Here is an 18019-nt window from a genome sequence, read left to right on the forward strand (position 1 = left end):
TGCTCTGGACGGCAGTAGGTGCCCGTACCCTCCCCTGCTGTCCCCTCTTTCCAGGTTCAACATTTTGGAGCCATCCTTGTTTTCACAGTCAATATTCAGGAGGCCAACCAGTCCTGCCCATTTCTTTCTTCCTTCCTTCCTTCCTCCCTCCCTCCCTTTCTTTCTTTCTTCCTTCCTTTCTTTCTTTCTATTTTTTTTTTTTTTGAGACAGAGTCTCGCTGCGATGCCCAGGCCGGACTTCTGTGGCGCGATCTTGGCTCACTGCAACCTCCACCTTCCAGGTTCAAGCAGTTCTCCTGCCTCAGCCTCCCAAGTAGCTGGGATTACAGGCAACGCCATCATGCCTGGCTAATTTTTTTAGTACTTTTAGTAGAGACGGGGTTTCACCATGTTGGCCAGGCTGGTCAGGAACTCCTGACCTCGAGTGATCCGCCCGCCTCGGCCTCCCAAAGTGCTGAGCCACCATGCCCGGCCAGTCCTGCCTATTTTTCAAGGATCTCTATCCTGTCTGTCCCATCCTTCCATAGCCCCAGCCCACCCAGAACCCTCTCACAGTGGATCCCAGTCTCCCAGAGGCGCCACCAGGCTGCCTGCTCTCCTGGAATGCTCTTCACCCTCAGCGGCCGCGCTGGCCTCCCTGAAAACTCCACACTGCTCACGACCCCCAGCCCCACATCAAATGATGATTAAGAATTTGGGCTTTGGAGTTGGGCTGCCTGGTTTCAATCAAATCCTGGCTTTGTCTCTTACTGGACCGTGGGCAAGTTATTTAACCTCTCTGTGCCTGTTTTCTCTATTTTATTTATTTATTTATTTATTTATTTATTTATTTATTTATTTATTTATTGAGATGGAGTCTCGCTCTGTCGCCCAGTCTGGAGTGCAGTGGCGCGATCTCCACTCACTGCAACCTCTGCCTCCCTAGTTAAAGCGATTCTCCTGCCTCAGCCTCCCAAGTAGCTGGGACTACAGGCTCCCAGCACCACGCCGGGCTAATTTTTTATATTTTTAGTAGAGACGGGTTTTCACCGTGTTAGCCAGCATGGTCTCGAACTCCTGACCTCAGGCGATCCGCCCGCCTCGGCCTCCCAAAGTGCTGGGATTACAGGTGTGAGCCACCACACCTCGCCTCCTCATCTTTTAAATGCAGTAAATGTATTTTATTGACTCTATATAACGTTTTTAATCTGTTTACATTTGAACATCTCTGAAGTCAGAATGCATCTTAAACTGAAGGTATGCCATGGCTTAGTGGATAGTATTTTTTTCTTAGCAGTATATAACATAATGGTATATCAGCAGGGCACGGTGGCTCACACCTGTAAAACCGGCACTTTGGGAGGCTGAGGTGGGTGGATTGCTTGAGGTCAGGAGTTCAAGACCAGCCTGAAAAACATGGTGAAACTCCATCTCTACTAAAAATACAAAAATTAGCCAGGAGTGGTAGCAGGTGCCTGTAATCCTAGCTACTCAGGAGGCTGAGGCAGAGGAATCACTTGAACCCGAGAGGCAGAGGTTGCAGTGAGCTGAGATCACGCCACTGTACTCCAGCCTGGGCAGTAGAGCAAGATTCCATTTCAAAAAAATAATAATAAAAAATTTAAATATTAAAAAATAAAATAATAGTATATATTACAATTGATATATTAAAATTCGTGATAAATTCAATGAAATGCAGTAGTAGTTACCTTATGGGATTGCTGTGAAGTCTAAATAAGCTAATATAAAATGCTTGAGGCCAAGCACAGTGGCTTACACCTGTAATCCCAGCATGTTGGGAGGCCGAGGCAGGAGGATCGCTTGAGCCCAGGGGTTTGAGACCAGCCTAGGCAACATAGTGAGACCCCCATCTCTACAAAAAAAAATTTAAATTAGCTGGGTGTGTCAGCCGGGCGAGTGGCTCACGCCTGTAATCTCAGCACTTTGGGAGGCCAAGGCGGGTGAATCACGAAGTCGGGAGTTCGAGACCAGCCTGACCCACATGGTGAAACCCCGTCTCTACTAACAATACAAAAATTAACTGGGCATGGTGGCACATGCCTGTAATCCCAGCTACTTGGGAGGCTGAGGCAGGAGAATTGCTTGAACCCAAGAGGCGGAGGTTGCAGCAAGCCGAGATCGCGCCACTGCACTCCTGCCTGGGGGATGAGCAAGACTTCGTCTCAAAAAAAAAAAAAAAAAAAAAATTAGCTGGGTGTGATGGCGCATGCCTGTGGTCCCAGCTACTCAGGAGGCTGAGGTGAGAAGATCGCTTGAACCCAGGAGGTCAAAGCTGAAGTGAGCTGACATCACACCACTGCACTCCAGCTTGGGTGACAGAGTGAGACCCTGTCTTAAAAAAAAAAAAAAGAAAGAAACACAAACTCCTCCAACCTCTCATGCCACATGCTCAGGAAGAGCTTACTAGAGGAATTTATATCACAAGGGTTCAGAGAAGGGGCTGGGGTTGTCAAGGACATACCCTGGAGTCTGCCATGTGCCAAACACTGTGGAAACAAAGATAAAAAACCACTAGGTGGGTAGGCACGGTGGCTCATGCCTGTAATCCCAGACTTTGGGAGGCCAGGGTGGTTGGATCACCTGAGGTCAGGAGTTCGAGACCAGCCTGGCCAACATGGTGAAACCACATCTCTACTAAAAATACAAAAATTAGCCAGGTGTGGTGGCAGGTGCCTGTAATCCTAGCTACTCTGGAGGCTGAGGCAGTAGAATCGATTGAACCCAGGAGTAGGAGGTTGCAGTGAGCCAAGATTATGCCACTGCACTCCAGCCTGGGTGATGGAGCGAGACTCGGTCTCGAAAACAAACAAACAAACAAACAAAAAACCTGTTAGCTGGTGGTTTAATAGGGCAGGGCATGGTTTGGAGGGAAGATGGATTGGTAAAGAAACACCACCACCTTGATGTGACACAGCTGAGGGATGTCTAGAGAAGGGACACCCCCAGGGGCTCAGAGAAGGATTCTCAGAAGAGGTTGTGCCTGAGCCAAAGGAGAAAGACATCCCAGGTATAAGGACAAGCCTGGGCAATGACAGATGAAAAAGCAGGAGGTGTTTGGGCAGCTACAGGTGATTCAGTATGGCCGTGGGGGGTGCGTTGGGTGGGCAGTGCTGAGAGATAAAGCCGCAGGGACATGTGGGGGCCAGATTCCAGGAAGTATTACACAGGTAGATCACTTGCTTACTGATGAGAAGTGGGCATGTGGGCATGGCAGGAAGAGAAGAAGGAAGAGAATGTCCAGGGTACAGTTGGCGCTGCCACGAAGCTCCAGAGAGGTCACAGAGAAGTGATGGGCTCAGGGAGGAAGGTGAGCTTGAACATATGGAATCTGAGATGCCCGGGCAGGGGCATTCAAGTGGAGATTCCAGGTAGGGCTACCTTTGAACAGCTCTGGCCTGAGGAGCAGATATAACAAGTGGGAGCTGCTGATGGAAAGCCTGGAATGTCAGGGTAAATAGAGGCCAGGCCGGGCGCGGTGGCTTACGTCCGTATCCCAGCACTTTGGGAGGCTGAGGCGGGCGTATCACCAGGTCAGGAGATCAAGACCATCCTGGCTAACACGGTGAAACCCTGTCTCTACTACTAAAATACAAAAAATTAGCCGGGTGTGGTGGCACGTGCCTGCAGTCCCAGCTACTCAGGAGGCTGAGGTGGGGGAATCGCTTGAACCCGGGAGGCGGAGGTTTCAGTGAGCTGAGATCACGCCACTGCACTCCAGCCTGAAGATAGAGCAAGACTTCGTCTCAAAAAAAAAAAAAAAAAAAGCCAGGTCTATAAACTGCAGGCAAGGAAGAGAGCTAGGGCATGTCTTTTTTTTTTTTTTTTTTTTTTTTTTTTTGAGATAGAGTCTCACTTTGCTGCCCAGTCTGGAGTGCAATGGAGTGATCTCGGCTTACTGCCACCTCTGCCCTCCGGGTTCAAGCGATTCTCCTGCCTCAGCCCCCCAAGTAGCAGGGACTGCAGGTGTGCACCACCATACCCGGCTAATTTTTATATTTGCAGTAGAGACAGAGTTGCACCATTTTGGCCAGGCTAGTCTCGAACTCCTGACCTCAGGTGATCCTCCCACCTTGGCCTCCCAAAGTGCTGGGATTACAGATGTGAACCAGTGCGCCCGGCCAGGCATATATTTAAACAAGATATTATAACAGCTAATGCTGAGTGAGTGCCAGTATATGTGGGACACAGTCCCAAGCATTTTATTTATTTATTTATTTTTTGAGACAGGGCCTCACTCTGTAGCCCAGGCTGGAGTGCACTGGTGCAATCACAGCTCACTGCAGCCTTGGCCTCCCCGGTTCAAGCAATCCTCCTACCTTAGTCTCCCAAGTAGCTGGACTATGGGCACATGTCACCACGCCCAGCTATTTTGAAATTTTTTTGTAGAGACTATCTCACTATGTTGCTCATTCTGGTCTTGAACTCCTGAGCTCAAGTGATCCGCCCACCTCAGCCTCCCAAATTGTTGGGATTACAGGCGTGAGTCACCGCACCGGGCCTGTGTTTCTTTCTGTGCACATAAAGCCAGCCCACTGGAATATGGTCTACAGGGCTGGTATTTCTGAGCACCTCCCAAACAAGGGAGGCTGCTGTGGGTGCAGAAACATTTTTAAGTGGCCCCCAAATCCTCTCTGACCTGCCTTCCATGGAGAGGCAGATTCTATGGATCCTTCCCTTGAATCTGGGCTCTGTGTCTGGCTGACCAATGGAATGTGGGAGAAGTGACACTGCTCCACTTTCTGGGCCCACGCCTTAAGGAACTGGCACCTTCCACTCTCTGTCTCTTGGGGACTCACTCTGGAACCTAGTCACCATCTCTGAGGAAGCCCAGACTTCAGGAAGAGTCCATATGAGGGGTCCCAGCCAAACGCCAGCATCTCCTGCCACACATATGAGTGATATTACAGCCCCCAGATGTCCAGTTACCCCCAGACTTTTATTTTTCCAAGACACCAGATATTGTAAAGCAGAGATTAACCCCACAGTGTCCTGCTGGAATTCCTGACTCAAGAAGTCCAGGGCAATGATCAAACAGTGTGTTTTTTTTGTTTGTTTTGTTTTTTTGAGACGGAGTCTCGCTCTGTCTCCCAGGCTGGAGTGCAGTGGCACAATCTTGGCTCACTGCAACCTCCGCCTCCCAGGTTCAAGCAATTCTCCTGCCTCAGCCTCCCGAGTAGCTGGGCCTACAGGTGCCTGCCACCACGACTGGCTACATTTTTTTGTATTTTTAGTAGAGATGGGGTTTCACCGGGTTAGCCAGGATGGTCTCGATCTCCTGACCTCGTGATCTGCCCACCTTGGCCTCCCAAAGTGCTGGGATTACAGGCGTGAGCCACCACGCCCGGCCCAAACAGTGTTTTTTATGCCACTAGGTATTATTTCTTCAAAACAGATAGTTGGTTCAGTGGGACAGAAAAAGGAGCCTAGGACATGGCACTAAATGTCTTGGGTTTATGACACGGCTGGCCGGGTCCATCCTAGCCATGTGCACGGGGGGATATTACTTCAGCAACCTAAGCCTCAGTCCTCCTGCCTGCAAAATGGAGTTAATGATAACTAATGTGTACGGTGACAGCGTGTCAGACAGTCTAAGCAGTTTTTTTTGGAGACGGAGTCTCGCTCTGTCACCCAGGCTGGAGTGCAGTGGTGCGATCTCGGCTTACTGTAACCTCTACCTCCCAGGTTCAAGCGATTCTTCTGCCTTAGCCCCCGAGTAGCTGGGATTACAGGCACCTGCCACCATGTCCGGCTAACTTTTGTATTTTTAGTAGAGACAGGGTTTCACCATGTTGGCCAGGCTGGTCTCGAACCCCTGACCCCAAGTGATCCTCCCGCCTTGGCCTCCAAGGTGCTGGGATTGCAGGCATGAGCCTCCATGCCCGGCTTTCAGTGTCCTCTTGACATGGTGGCTGGCTTCCCCCAGAGGGAGTGATCCAAGAGAGCCAGACAGAAGCCATGCTGCCTTATACGGCTTGTCTCAGAAGTCACTCACCATCCCTTCTGGGGATCCCACTGGTTACACTGATGAGCCCCATTCATTGTGGGAAGGTACTATGGGAATCCCAATGATTACACTGATGAGCCCCATTCATTGTGGGAAGGGACTATACAACAGGAGGAATACCCGGAGGGGTGTTGCAGCCGCAGCCACTTTGGAGGCTGGTTACCGCACATGTGGACACAGTTACTTCTCCAATAACCCCATAAAGTAGATGCTCCTCATAGACATATGTTGTAGATGAGGAAACAGAGGTACAGAAATGAGAAGTAACTTGTTCAGATTCACAGTCTTTTAAGTGGTAAAGCTGGATAGAACACAGGCAGGCAGATCCAGCGTTGAGGCCTAAGTCACTGTGCTGTCAAGCATCTCAGATGCACTGTGAGCCTGAAGGAACATGGTGGGCACGAGAGAGCTTCCACTTTGGAAAGCAAAACAGCAGATATGTACAAGGGGTTGCGCTGATGATTGTAAACACAAGTGAAGCAAATGCAAATTGGGAAAGGATGGATGGGAACTCAGGGTCCTAGGAGATGAAGTTGGGGTGACAGAACAGGAAGGGTGGGCCGGGCGCAGTGGCTCACGCCTGTAATCCCAGCACTTTGGGAGGCCGAGGTGGGTGGACCACGAGGTCAGGAGATCGAGACCATCCTGGCTAACACGGTGAAACCCCGTCTGTACTAACAGTACAAAAAATTAGCCGGGCGTGGTGGCGGGCGCCTGTAGTCCCAGCTACTCGGGAGGCTGAGGCAGGAGAATGGTGTGAACCCGGGAGGCGGAGCTTGCAGTGAGCCTAGACCACACCACTGCACTCCAGCCTGGGTGACAGAGTGAGACTCCATCTCAAAAAAAAAAAAGAACAGGAAGGGTGTACCCAAGGGTCTGGGAAGAGCTGACTGCGCAGGGCCAGGGAGTACCAAAGTGGGAGGGCCTCATGGATGGGTTCAGAAGAAGAGTGCTTATTGGTGAGGTTTGGAGATTGCCATTCCCATCACTTCCGGCACAGGAGCTCTTAATTACAAACCTCTCCTTTGCTTCACTCAATTCAGATGACTCTGTCTCATCCATTCGTTCAGGAAATGTCACTGAGCACGTAGCATGTAAGTCAGGCGATAGACTGAACGGGGGAGACATAATAATGGCCGGGCAAGATAAGGTCCTTGGCTACCTGGAGCTTAGAGTCTAGCAGGGGAGACAAGTTACTGGCAAATTCTACCAGAGTGATGAGTGCAATGACAGGAAAGCACGGGGGACTTGAGGTGCAGAGGAAGACACCAGAGCAGTCAGGGATAGGTGTTTTTTTTGTTTTGATTTGTTTTTTTGAGACAGAGCCTCACTCCGTCATCCAGGCTGGATTGCAGTGGCACGATCTCGGCTCACTGCAACTTCTGCCTTCCAGATTCAAGTGATTCTCCTGCCTCAGCCTCCTGAGAAGCTGGGATTACAGGCGCCCGCCACCATGCCCAGCTAATTTTTTTTTTTTTTTGAGATGGAGTCTTGCTCTGTCACCCAGGCTGGAGTGCAGTGGCGCGATCTCGGCTCACTGCAACCTCTGCCTCCTGGGTTTAAGCGATTCTCCTGCTTCAGCCTCCAGAGTAGCTGCGATTACAGGCACACGCCACCATGCCCAGCTAATTTTTGTATTTTTAGTAGAGACGGGGTTTCACCATGTTGGCCAGGCTGGTCTCGAACTCCTGACCTCAGGTGATCCACCCACCTCAGCCTCCTAAAGTGCTGGGATTACAGGCGTGAGCCACTGCGCCCGGCCAGGGATAGGTGTCTTGCATTTAGCAAGTGAGACAAGAGTAGGCCAGATTGGGAAGACTTTTCTCAGCAGAGGGAACAGCCATGCAGAGGCTCAGGGGAGAGCGAGCCAAGATGCTGAGGTGCTTTCCCCTGTTGAAAGCCTGGCTTGTGGATGGTGGAAGGGGGAGAGCTGGGTGATCTCAGGATCAGAGCAGGGAAGGAGAAGCTAAGGAGGTACCAATGTAGTTCCTCACTGGCATGGAGAGGCCTCTGCACAGGAATGGGCCTCACTCAACCTGTGCTTCTCCCATCCCACCCCCATCCAAGGTGGTGAGGGCAGCCAGGCAGCCGAGTACCCTCTCTGCTTATCTTCCCCTGTAGGGGAAGAATTGGCCCTGCTGCTGTGAATGTGGTCCTCATTCCCAGATGCAGAGCCTGCGGGGCAGGGCAGAGGTTAGGGAAGGGCAGTTGGAGTGGGCGGTGCCCCATCTGGGTCTCCAGGTTTAAGTGTTAATGGGTGCTGCATTCCAGCCTGAAGGAGATGCTCCCTAACAGCGATTAGGATGGCCGGGCTGTGCTTCCCCTACATCCCACCCTCTTTATGGGCAAAGGTGGGGATGGGAGAAACTTAAATCCAAAAGTAAAAAATAGGCCGGTGCGGTGGCTCACGCCTGTAATCCCAACACTTTGGGAGGCTGAGGCAGGTGAGGTCAAGAGTTCAAAACCAGCCTGACCAACACGGTGAAACCCCGTCTCTACTAAAAATACAAAAATTAGTCTGGCATGGTGGCAGGTGCCTGTAGTCTGAGCTACTTGGGAGGCTGAGGCAGGAGAATCGCTTGAACCTGGGAGGTAGAGGTTGCAGTGAGCTGAGATCATGCCACTGCACTCCAGCCTGGGTGACAGAGCGAGACTCCATTTGGAAAAAAAAAAAAAGTAAGAAATAAACAGGAAGAAGGGGAGAAATAAAAAGTCTTCTAGGCCAGGCATAGTGGCTCACGCCTGTAATCCTAGCACTTTGCGAGGCCGAGACGGGTGGATCACCTGAGGTCAGTAGTTCAAGACCAGCCTGGCCAACATGGCGAAACCCCGTCTCTACTAAAAATACAAAAAATATTAGCCAGGTATGGTGGTGCAATGCCTGTAATCCCAGCTACTCGAGAGGCTGAGGAAGGAGAATCGCTTGAACCCAGGAGGTGGAGGTTGCAGTGAGCCAGGCGCAACAGGAGCGAGACTCCATCTCAAAAAAAAAAAAAAAAAGGCTTCTAATTCCCTGGATTTTTTTTCCCAAGCCCAAGCTAAAAGCATGCTTGAGTCTCCGCCTCCGGTTTCCTGCTGGGGCAAGATAGGGTGAAGGGGACCTGAGCCTGGAGTCCAACCCACGGTGCCCCGTCTCCTCGGCCTCCCCTCCATCTGTGATGCTGTGATATAATAAGAAATATATATTTGATATTTACCCTGGTCTCTGGCACAGAGCTCCTGTAACCCTTGGAATTTCCTGAGTGACAGTGGTGCCAGGAGCATCTGTTGTTATTCATAAGCCCCTTTCAACCATACCTGAGCTGATGCTGATGGGGTGACTCTTGGAGGATGGGGGCTGGTTGCCAGAGGAACCAACCATGTGATTAGAGGGTTGGAACTTTCAACCCCCTCCCCAGCCTCCACGTAGCGGGGAGTAGCTGAAGAGTGAGTTCAATTACCAAGGCCGATGATTTAATCAATCATGCTACATAATGGAGCTTCTATAAAAACCCCAAACAATGGAGTTCAGAGAGTTTCCAGGTCGGAGAAGGCTTGGAGGCGCTGGGAGGATGTCATGCCCAGAGAGGGCACGGAAGCTGCATACCCCTCCTGCAAACCTTGCTGGAAGCAACTCATCCACCTGGTTATTCATCTGTATCCTTTGTGATGTAATTTCCTTCCTCCCTCCCTCCCTCCCTTCCTTCCTTCCTTCTTTCTTTCCTTCCTTCCTTCTTGACAGAGTCTCACTCTGTTGCCCAGGCTGGAGTGCAGTGGTGCGATCTTGGCTTACTTCAGCCTCCGCCTCCTGAGTTCAAGCGATTCTCCTGCCTCAGCCACCTGAGTAGCTGGGATTACAGGCATGTGCCACCAGGCCTGGCTAATTTTTGTATTTTTAATAGAGATGGGGTTTCACCATGTTGGCCAGGCTAATCTCGAACTCCTGACCTCAAGTGATCTGCCCGTCTTGGCCTCCCAAAGTGCTAGGATTACAGGTGTGAGCCACTGCGGCTGACCTTTTTTCCCAGCTAATTTTTGTATTTTTTGTAGAGACGTGGTTTCACCATGTTGCCCAGGCTGGTCTCAAGCTCCTGAGCTCAAGCCATCTGCCCACCTCGGCCTCCCAAAGTGCTGGGATTACAGGCGTGAGCCACCCTGCCTGCCCTGTAATATCCTTTAAAACAAACTGGTAAATGTAAGTAAATGTTTCCCTCAGTTTTGTGAGCCATTCTATCAAATTATTCAACCCAAGGTAGGGGTCGTGGGGACCCCTGAGTTCTAACTGGTCAGTGAGAAGGACAGAAGGCTCGGAGGAGCAGTTGGCATCTGAAGTCAGGGGCAGTCTGTGAGAATGAGCCCTTAAATAGGGGTCTGCACTAACTAGGTACTGAGTGCCAGAACCGAATTAAATTATAGGACACCCAGTTGATGTCTGCAGAGAATTGGAGAATTGCTTGGCACGGGGAAAAAACCCACACATCTGGTGTCACAATGGTATGTGAGAGTATTAAAATATGTTTTTTTTTTCCTTTTTATCACTCCATAAGCAGGGCCTCAGCAGGCCAGTCTCACTCTCCTAATCCAGTCGTCAGTGCCCCTCCGCTTTACCTCCTGCTTCCCCCTCGCCCTCTCCCGGTCTCCACAGCAGGCTGATTCTGTCACTCCCCTGTGTAAGACAACTCCTCAGAGCCCTCAGGTAAGGCCCAAGCTCCTTACCATGTTCTGCAGGCCCTCTAGAATGAAGCTCCCCTGGGGGAGATTGTGTCTGCTTGTTCACCTGGGTTCCCAGAACCTGGCACGGAGTAGAGACTCAGTCAAAGTTTGCTAGAGGGATGAATCAATGCCTGCTCCGGCTCCCGCCTCTCTGGCTACATCTGCCTTCATCTCTCCCCATGTGCCCTAGCCTCACGTTCATTCAATTCTCAGATGACCTCTAGTACTTCCCAGAGTACACTGGGTGTTCAAAGGAAAGTCAGATTTCACATGATCTTCCCTGAAGAAGCTCATGGAAAGACTGTGTTTTTCCTACCAAGAACTTGGACTTTGCTCATTCCATCCCTTCAGCCTAGAAGGCTTAGCAACATCTGACCTGTCCTTCAGGGCTCAGCTCAAGTGCTACTACCTATTTATTTATTTATTTGAGACAGAGTTTTGCTCTTTTCACCCAGGCTGGAGCGCAGTGGTGCAATCTCGGCTCACTACAACCTCCGCCTCCCAGATTCAAGCGATTATCCTGCCTCAGCCTCCTGAGTAGCTGGGATAACAGGTGCCCGCCACCACACCCGGCTAATTTTTATATTTTTAGTAGAGACAGGGTTTCACCATGTTGACCAAGCTGGTCTCGAACTCCTGACCTCAGGTGATCCACCCACCTCGGCCTCCCAAAGTGCTGGGATTGCAGGTGTGAGCCACCTTGCCTGGCCATTTCTGCCTCTTTCTTGAAGTCTGCCTTCATGGTTTTATTCAGCCCAGTGAGAACATTCACCCACTTCTTTGCATTCCCAAGGCCCCCTCAGTTCTTCCTTACATGAGAGCTACTGCTTTCATTAATTATTTTATGGACTTATTCACCTAATAACATGTACTGAGAACCTGCTTTGGACAGTACTCGTTGTGCGCAGCTGCAGTCCTAGCTCCTTGGAAGGCTGAGGCGGGAGGATCGCATGCTAATTTGTAAACCCACTGCAAGGTAAGGAAGCTGAACTGAGACTCCTGCATTAATCTGGGACTCCTGAAAGAAGCTAAAACTGTCTCAAGTTGTTTGCAACCTCTGGCATCTGGCAGAAGCAAATGAAATTTCTCTCTGGAGTAAAACATCTCAAATTTAGGCACTTGGAATTCCTACAGATTAAGATCAATAAAATATAATATTAAACTGTGTACAGTGGTACATACCCATAGTCCCAGCTACTCGGGAGGCTGAGGAGGAGGATCCCTGAAGCCCAGGAGCTTGAGACTGCAGGACACTATAATTGTGCCTGTGAATAGCCACTGCCCTTTAGCCTGGGCAACATAGCAAGACCTATCTCTAAGAGAAAATAAAATATAATAAAATGTAATATAATTTCACAATCATAGACACACAAGGAAACAATCCACCGTGAATGAGAGTCAGCAGAAACAATGACTATAAATTTAGATCTGTAAGGATATTAAAAATTGGAATAAAAACAAAACTATGAATGAAGAATTAAAGAAAATGTGGAGACCGGGCGCAGCGGCTCACACCTGTAATCCCAGCACTTTGGGAGGCCAAGGCAGGTGGATCACACGGTCAGGAGACCGAGACCATCCTAGCTAACATGGTGAAACCCCATCTCTACTAAAAAAATACAAAAAAATTAGCTGGGCATGGTGGCAGGCACCTGTAGTCCCAGCTGCTTGGGAGGCTGAGGCAGGAGAATGGCTTGAACCCGGGAGTGCAGAGCTTGCAGTGAGATGAGATTGCGCCACTGCACTCCAGCCTGGGCAACAGAGCAAGACTCCCCCTCAAAAAAAAAAAAAAAAGAAAAGAAAATGTGGAATAGGCCAGGCATGGTGGCTCATACCTGCAATCTCAGCTCTTTGGGAGGCCGAGGTAGGAGGATTGCTTGAGCTCAGGAGTTTAAGACCAGCTTTGACAATATAATGAGACTCCATCTCTACTTATTTAAAAAAAAAAAAAAAAGGGCCGGGCGCGGTGGCTCACACCTATAATCCCAGCACTTTGGAAGGCTGAGGTGGCGCATGCCTGTAGTCCCAGCTACTCAGGAGGCTGAGGCAGAAGAATCGCTTGAACCCAGGAGGCAGAGGTGGCAGTGAGCTGAGATCACGCAACTGCACACCAGCCCGGGTGACAGAGCGAGACTCCGTCTCAAAAAAAAAAAAAGGGCTGGGCGTGGTGGCTCACACCTGTAATCCCAGCAGTTTGGGAGCCCAAGGCAGGTGGATTACCTGAGGTCAGAAGTTCAAGACCAGCCTTGCCGAACATGGTGAAACCCCATCTCTGCTAAAAATACAAAAATTAGCCAGGCGTGGTGGCGCACACTTGTAATCCTTAGGAGGCTGAGGCACAAGAATCCCTTGAACCTGGGAGGCAGAGGCTGCAATGAGCGAAGATCATGCCACTGCATGCCAGCCTGGGAGGCAGAGTGAGACACTGTCTCAAAAAAAAAAACAAAAAAACACTCCCAAAACCAAAAAAAAAAAAAGAAAACAACAACCAAAAGAGAGAATGTGAAATGAAAAATGAGAAAGCAACAAGATCCCATCTATACAAAACTAAAAATAAAAAATTAGTTGGACATGGTGGTGCATGCCTGTAATCTGAGCTACTTAGAAAGCTGAGGTGAGAGGATCAATTGAGCCCAGGAGTTTGAGGCTGCAGTGAGCTATGATCACATCGCATCACTGTACTCTAGCCTGGGCCACAGAGCAAAACCTTGTCCAAAAAAAAAAAAAAGAAAGAAAGAAAAAAGAAAACAAAAAGAAAGCTGGGCACGGTGGCACACACCTGTGGTGTAGTCCCAGTTCCTCAGGAGGTTGATTTGAGGTGAGAGAATCATTTGTTGCCCAGGTTATTCTCAAACTCCTGGCCTCAAGCGATCCTCCCGCCTTGGCCTCCCAAAATGATGGGATTACAGGCATGAGCCACCATGCTGGGCCGAGTCCAGGAGTTTGAATCAGCCTGGGCTGGGCAACATAGCTCCTCTCTCTCTCTTTTTCTTTTTTTTCTTTGAAACAAGTTCTTGCTCTGTGGCCCAGGCTGGAGTGTGATGGCACCGTCATGGCTCACTGAAGCCTCAAATTCCTGGGCTCAAGCGATCCTCCCACCTCAGCCTCCCAACTAACTGGGACTACAGGTGCATGCAACCAGGCTTGACTAATTTTTAATTTTATTTTTGTAGAGACAGGGGTCTCACTATTTCGCCCAGGCTGGTCTTGAACTCCTGGCCTCAAGCAATCTTCCCACCTGGGCCTCCCAAAGTGCTGGGATTACAGGTATGACCCATCACACCCAGCCGAAACAATTAATTAATTACTATTTGGTTTTATTTGAGACAGGCTCTCGCTCTGTCGCCCAGGCTGGAATGCAGTGGCAGGATCTTAGCTCACTGCAATGTCCACCTCCTGGTTTCAAGCAATTCTGCTGCCTCAGCCTCCTGAGTAGCTGGGACTACAGGTGCTTGCCACTATGCCCGGCTAATTTTTGTTATGTTTTGTAGAGACAGAATTTCATCATGTTGCATAGGCTAGTCTCAAAATCCTAGGCTCAAGCGATCTTCCAGCCTCAGCCTCCCAAAAGTGCTGGGATTACAGATGTGAGCCACAGCTCCTGGCACAATTAATTAATTTTTTAAAAAATAATAAAGCAACAGAAGACTATAAAAGATGACCAGGGACATTAAAGAGACAAAAGTATCTTTGGCTGAAAAAATGACATGAAAAATGTAATTGCTGAAGTTTAAGAAAAACTCTTTTTTTTTTGAGACAGAGTCTCGCTCTGTCGCCCAGGCTGGAGTGCAGTGGCACAATCTCGGCTCACTGCAACCTCCACCTCCCAGGTTTAAGCGATTCTCCTGCCTCAGCCTCCCAAGTAGCTGGGATTACAGGCATGCGCCACCACACTCAGCTAATTTTCATATTTTTAGTAGAGACAGGGATTCACCATGTTGACCAGGCTGGTCTTGAACTCCTGACATCAGGTGATCCACCCACTCGGCCTCCCAAAGTGTGGGATTGCAGGCATGAGCCACCATGCCCAGCCCCCCAAAAATACTCTTAAATTGACACAAAAAGCACTAAAAGAAAAAAATGAATAAATTAGACTCCACCCAAATTTAAAACTTTTTATTTTCCAAAGACACTGTTAAGAAAATAAAAGGGGCTAGGCATGGTGGCTCACACCTGTATCTCAGCACTTTGGAAGGCCAAGGCGGGTGGATCACCTAAGGTCAGGAGCTCGAGACCAGCCTAGCCAACGTGGCAAAACCCCATCTCTACTAAAAATACAAAAATTAGCCAGGCATGGTGGGGTATGCCTGTAATCCCAGCTACTCAGGAGGCTGAGGCAAGAGAATCGCTTGAACCCGGGAGGCGGAGGTTGCTGTGCGCCAAGATTGCCCCACTTCACTCCAGCCTGGGCAAAAGAGTGAGACTCCGTCTAATAAATAAATAAATAAAGGTACATGGATGGCAAATAAGCACATGAAAAGATACTGAACACATTAATCATTAGACAAATGCAAAGTAAAACCACAATGATGGCTGGGTGCAGTGGCTCACGCCTGTAATCCCAGCACTTTGGGAGGTCAAGGCAAGTGGATCATCTGAAGTCAGGAGTTCAAGATTAGCCTGGCCAACATGGTGAAACTCCGTTGCTACTAAAAATACAAAAATTAGCTGGGCATAGTGGCACATGTCTGTAGCCCCAACTACTTGGGAGGCCAAGGCAGGAGGATCGCTTGTACCTGGGAGGCAGAGGTTGCAGTGAGCTGATATCATGTCACTGCACTCCAGCCTGGACTACAGAGCAGGACTCCATCTAAACAAACAAACAAAAAACCACAATGAGATATCACTATGGCACTGACTAGAATGGCTAAAATTAGAAAGTGTTGCTGAAGATGTAGAGCAACTGGAACTTTCATACTCTGCTGGGAAGACTTTGAAATGGTACAACCAGCTGGATGCAGCAGCTCACATGTGTAATCCCAGCATTTGGGGAGGCAGAGGCAGGAGGATTGCTTAAAGCCAAGAGTTTGAGACTAGCCTGGGCAACACAGTGAGACCTTATCTCTACTAAAAATTAAAAAAAAAATTAGCCAGGCATTGTGGCATGCACCCATGGCCTCAGGTACTTGGGAGGCTGAGGTGGGAGGATCATTTAAGCCCAGGAGTTTGAGGCTACAGTGAGCTATGATCATACCACTGCACTCCATCCTGGTTGATAGAGTGAGACTTTCTTGCTAAAAATAAATAAATAAATAGGCCGGGTGTGATGGCTCACACCTGTGATCCCAGCACTTTGGGAGGCCGAGGCGGGTGGATCATGAGGTCAGGAGATCAAGGCCATCCTGGCTAACACAGTGAAACCCCGTCTCTACTAAAAACACAAAAAAAATTAGCTGGGCCTGGTGGTGGGTGCCTGTAGTCCCAGCTACTCGGGAGGCTGAGGCAGGAGAATGGCATGAACCCAGGAGGTGGAGCTTGCAGTGAGCCGAGATCACGCCACTGCACTCTAGCCTGAGTGACAGAGCGAGACTCCGTCTCAAATAAATAAATAAATAAATAAATAAATAAATAAATAAATAGCCAGGCGCGGTAGCTCACACCCGTAATCCCAGCACTTTGAGAGGCTGAGGCGGGCAGATCACTTAAGGTCAGGAGTTCAAGACCAGCCTGGCCAACATGGCAAAACCCCATCTCTACTAAAAATACAAAAATTAGCTGGGTATGGTGGCTCGCACCTGTAGTCCCAGCTACTCGGGAGGCTGAGGCAGGAGAATCATTTGAACCCAGGAGATGGAGGTTGCAGTGAGACAAGATGGCACCACTTCACTCCAGCCTGGGCGACAGAGTGAGACTTTGTCTCAAAAAAATTTTTTCTTGGCCAGGCACGGTGGCTGACACCTGCACTTTGGGAGGCCGAGGTGGGTGGATCACCTGAGGTCAGGAGTTCGAGACCAGCCTGGTCAACATGATTAAACCCCGTCTCTACTAAAAATACAAAAAATTAGCTGGGCATGGTGGCACATACCTGTAATTGCAGCTACTCAGGAGGCTGAGGCAGGAGAATCGCTTGAACCCAGGAGGCAGAGGTTGCAGTGAGCCGAGATGGCACCACTGCACTCCAGCCTGGGCAACAAGAGCAAAACTCCGTCTCAAAAAAAACCTTTTTTTATTTTAATAAATAAATGAAATGAAATGGTAAAACCACTTTGGAAAACAGTTTTTTTGGTTTCTTAAAAAATTAAACATACCTGGCCAGGTGCGGTGGCTCACGCCTGTAATCTCAGCACTTTGGGAGGCCGAGGCAGGCGGATTATGAGGTCAGGAGATCGAGACCATCCTGGCTAACATGATGAAACCCCGTCTCTACTAAAAAATACAAAAAAAAATTAGCTGGGCATGGTGGTGGGCACCTGTAGTCCCAGCTACTTGGGAGGCTGAGGCAGGAGAACGGCATGAACCCGGGAGGCTGAGCTTGCAGTGAGCTGAGTTGGCACCACTGCACTCCAGCCTGGGCGACAGAGCGAGACTCTGTCTCAAAAAAAAAAAAAAAAATTAAACATACTAATTTTATGACCCAGACATTCCACTCCTAGGTATTTACCAAAGACAAAGGGAAACATATGTCCACACAAAGACTTAAAGAGAGTGGTCACAGCAGCTTTATTCATAATGGGCGAAAACTAGAAACAACCCAAATGTTTATCAACAGGTGAATGTATAAACAAATTATGATACATCCATACAATGGAATACTACTCGGCACTAAAAGGGGATGAATACTGATGATACATACAATATCATGAATGAATCTCAAAATAGTTATTCTGAGTAAAAGAAGGCAGGCAAAAAAGAATGCATACTGTAGGATTCTATTTACATAAACTTCTAGGAAATGCAAGCTAGTCTAGAGTGACAGAAACAGATCAGTGGTTGTCTGAGGAACGAGGGGCAGAAGAGATTACAAAGGGACATAAGGAAACTTTAGGGGTGGCAATATGTTCATTACTGTGGTTATGGTGATGGTTTCATGAGTGCACACATTTGTCAAAACTTATCAAATCACAAGCTTTAAATATGGGCAGTTTATTGAATGTCAATTATACCTCAATAAAGCTGTAAAAAAAAAACTCCAGTGGATAAAAATAATTCATATATCCATCATTAGGATACTAGATTTGAAAAGTAATATATTTATATAATGAACTACTACTTCATAATAAAAAATAACTACTAATATACACAACAGCATAGATGAATCTCAAAAAGATTATGGTGAGTGAAATAAGCCAAAAACAAAAAAACTGAATAAGCACTCCATTTATA

The 18019-nt window shown here is 48.7% G+C and overlaps 1 annotated feature.

The window, feature by feature from the left end:
• Nucleotides 7267-7489: a silencer, noted in NCBI's record as "fragment chr17:7269638-7269860 (GRCh37/hg19 assembly coordinates)". NCBI's record gives its function as "represses an EF-1alpha promoter that drives an FKBP-Casp9 reporter gene in an ReSE screen in K562 erythroleukemia cells {active_cell/tissue: K562}" and the evidence as "EXISTENCE:reporter gene assay evidence [ECO:0000049][PMID:32094911]".

This window comes from Homo sapiens, chromosome 17 (assembly GCF_000001405.40).
Source record: "Homo sapiens chromosome 17, GRCh38.p14 Primary Assembly".
Lineage (NCBI taxonomy): Eukaryota > Metazoa > Chordata > Mammalia > Primates > Hominidae > Homo > Homo sapiens.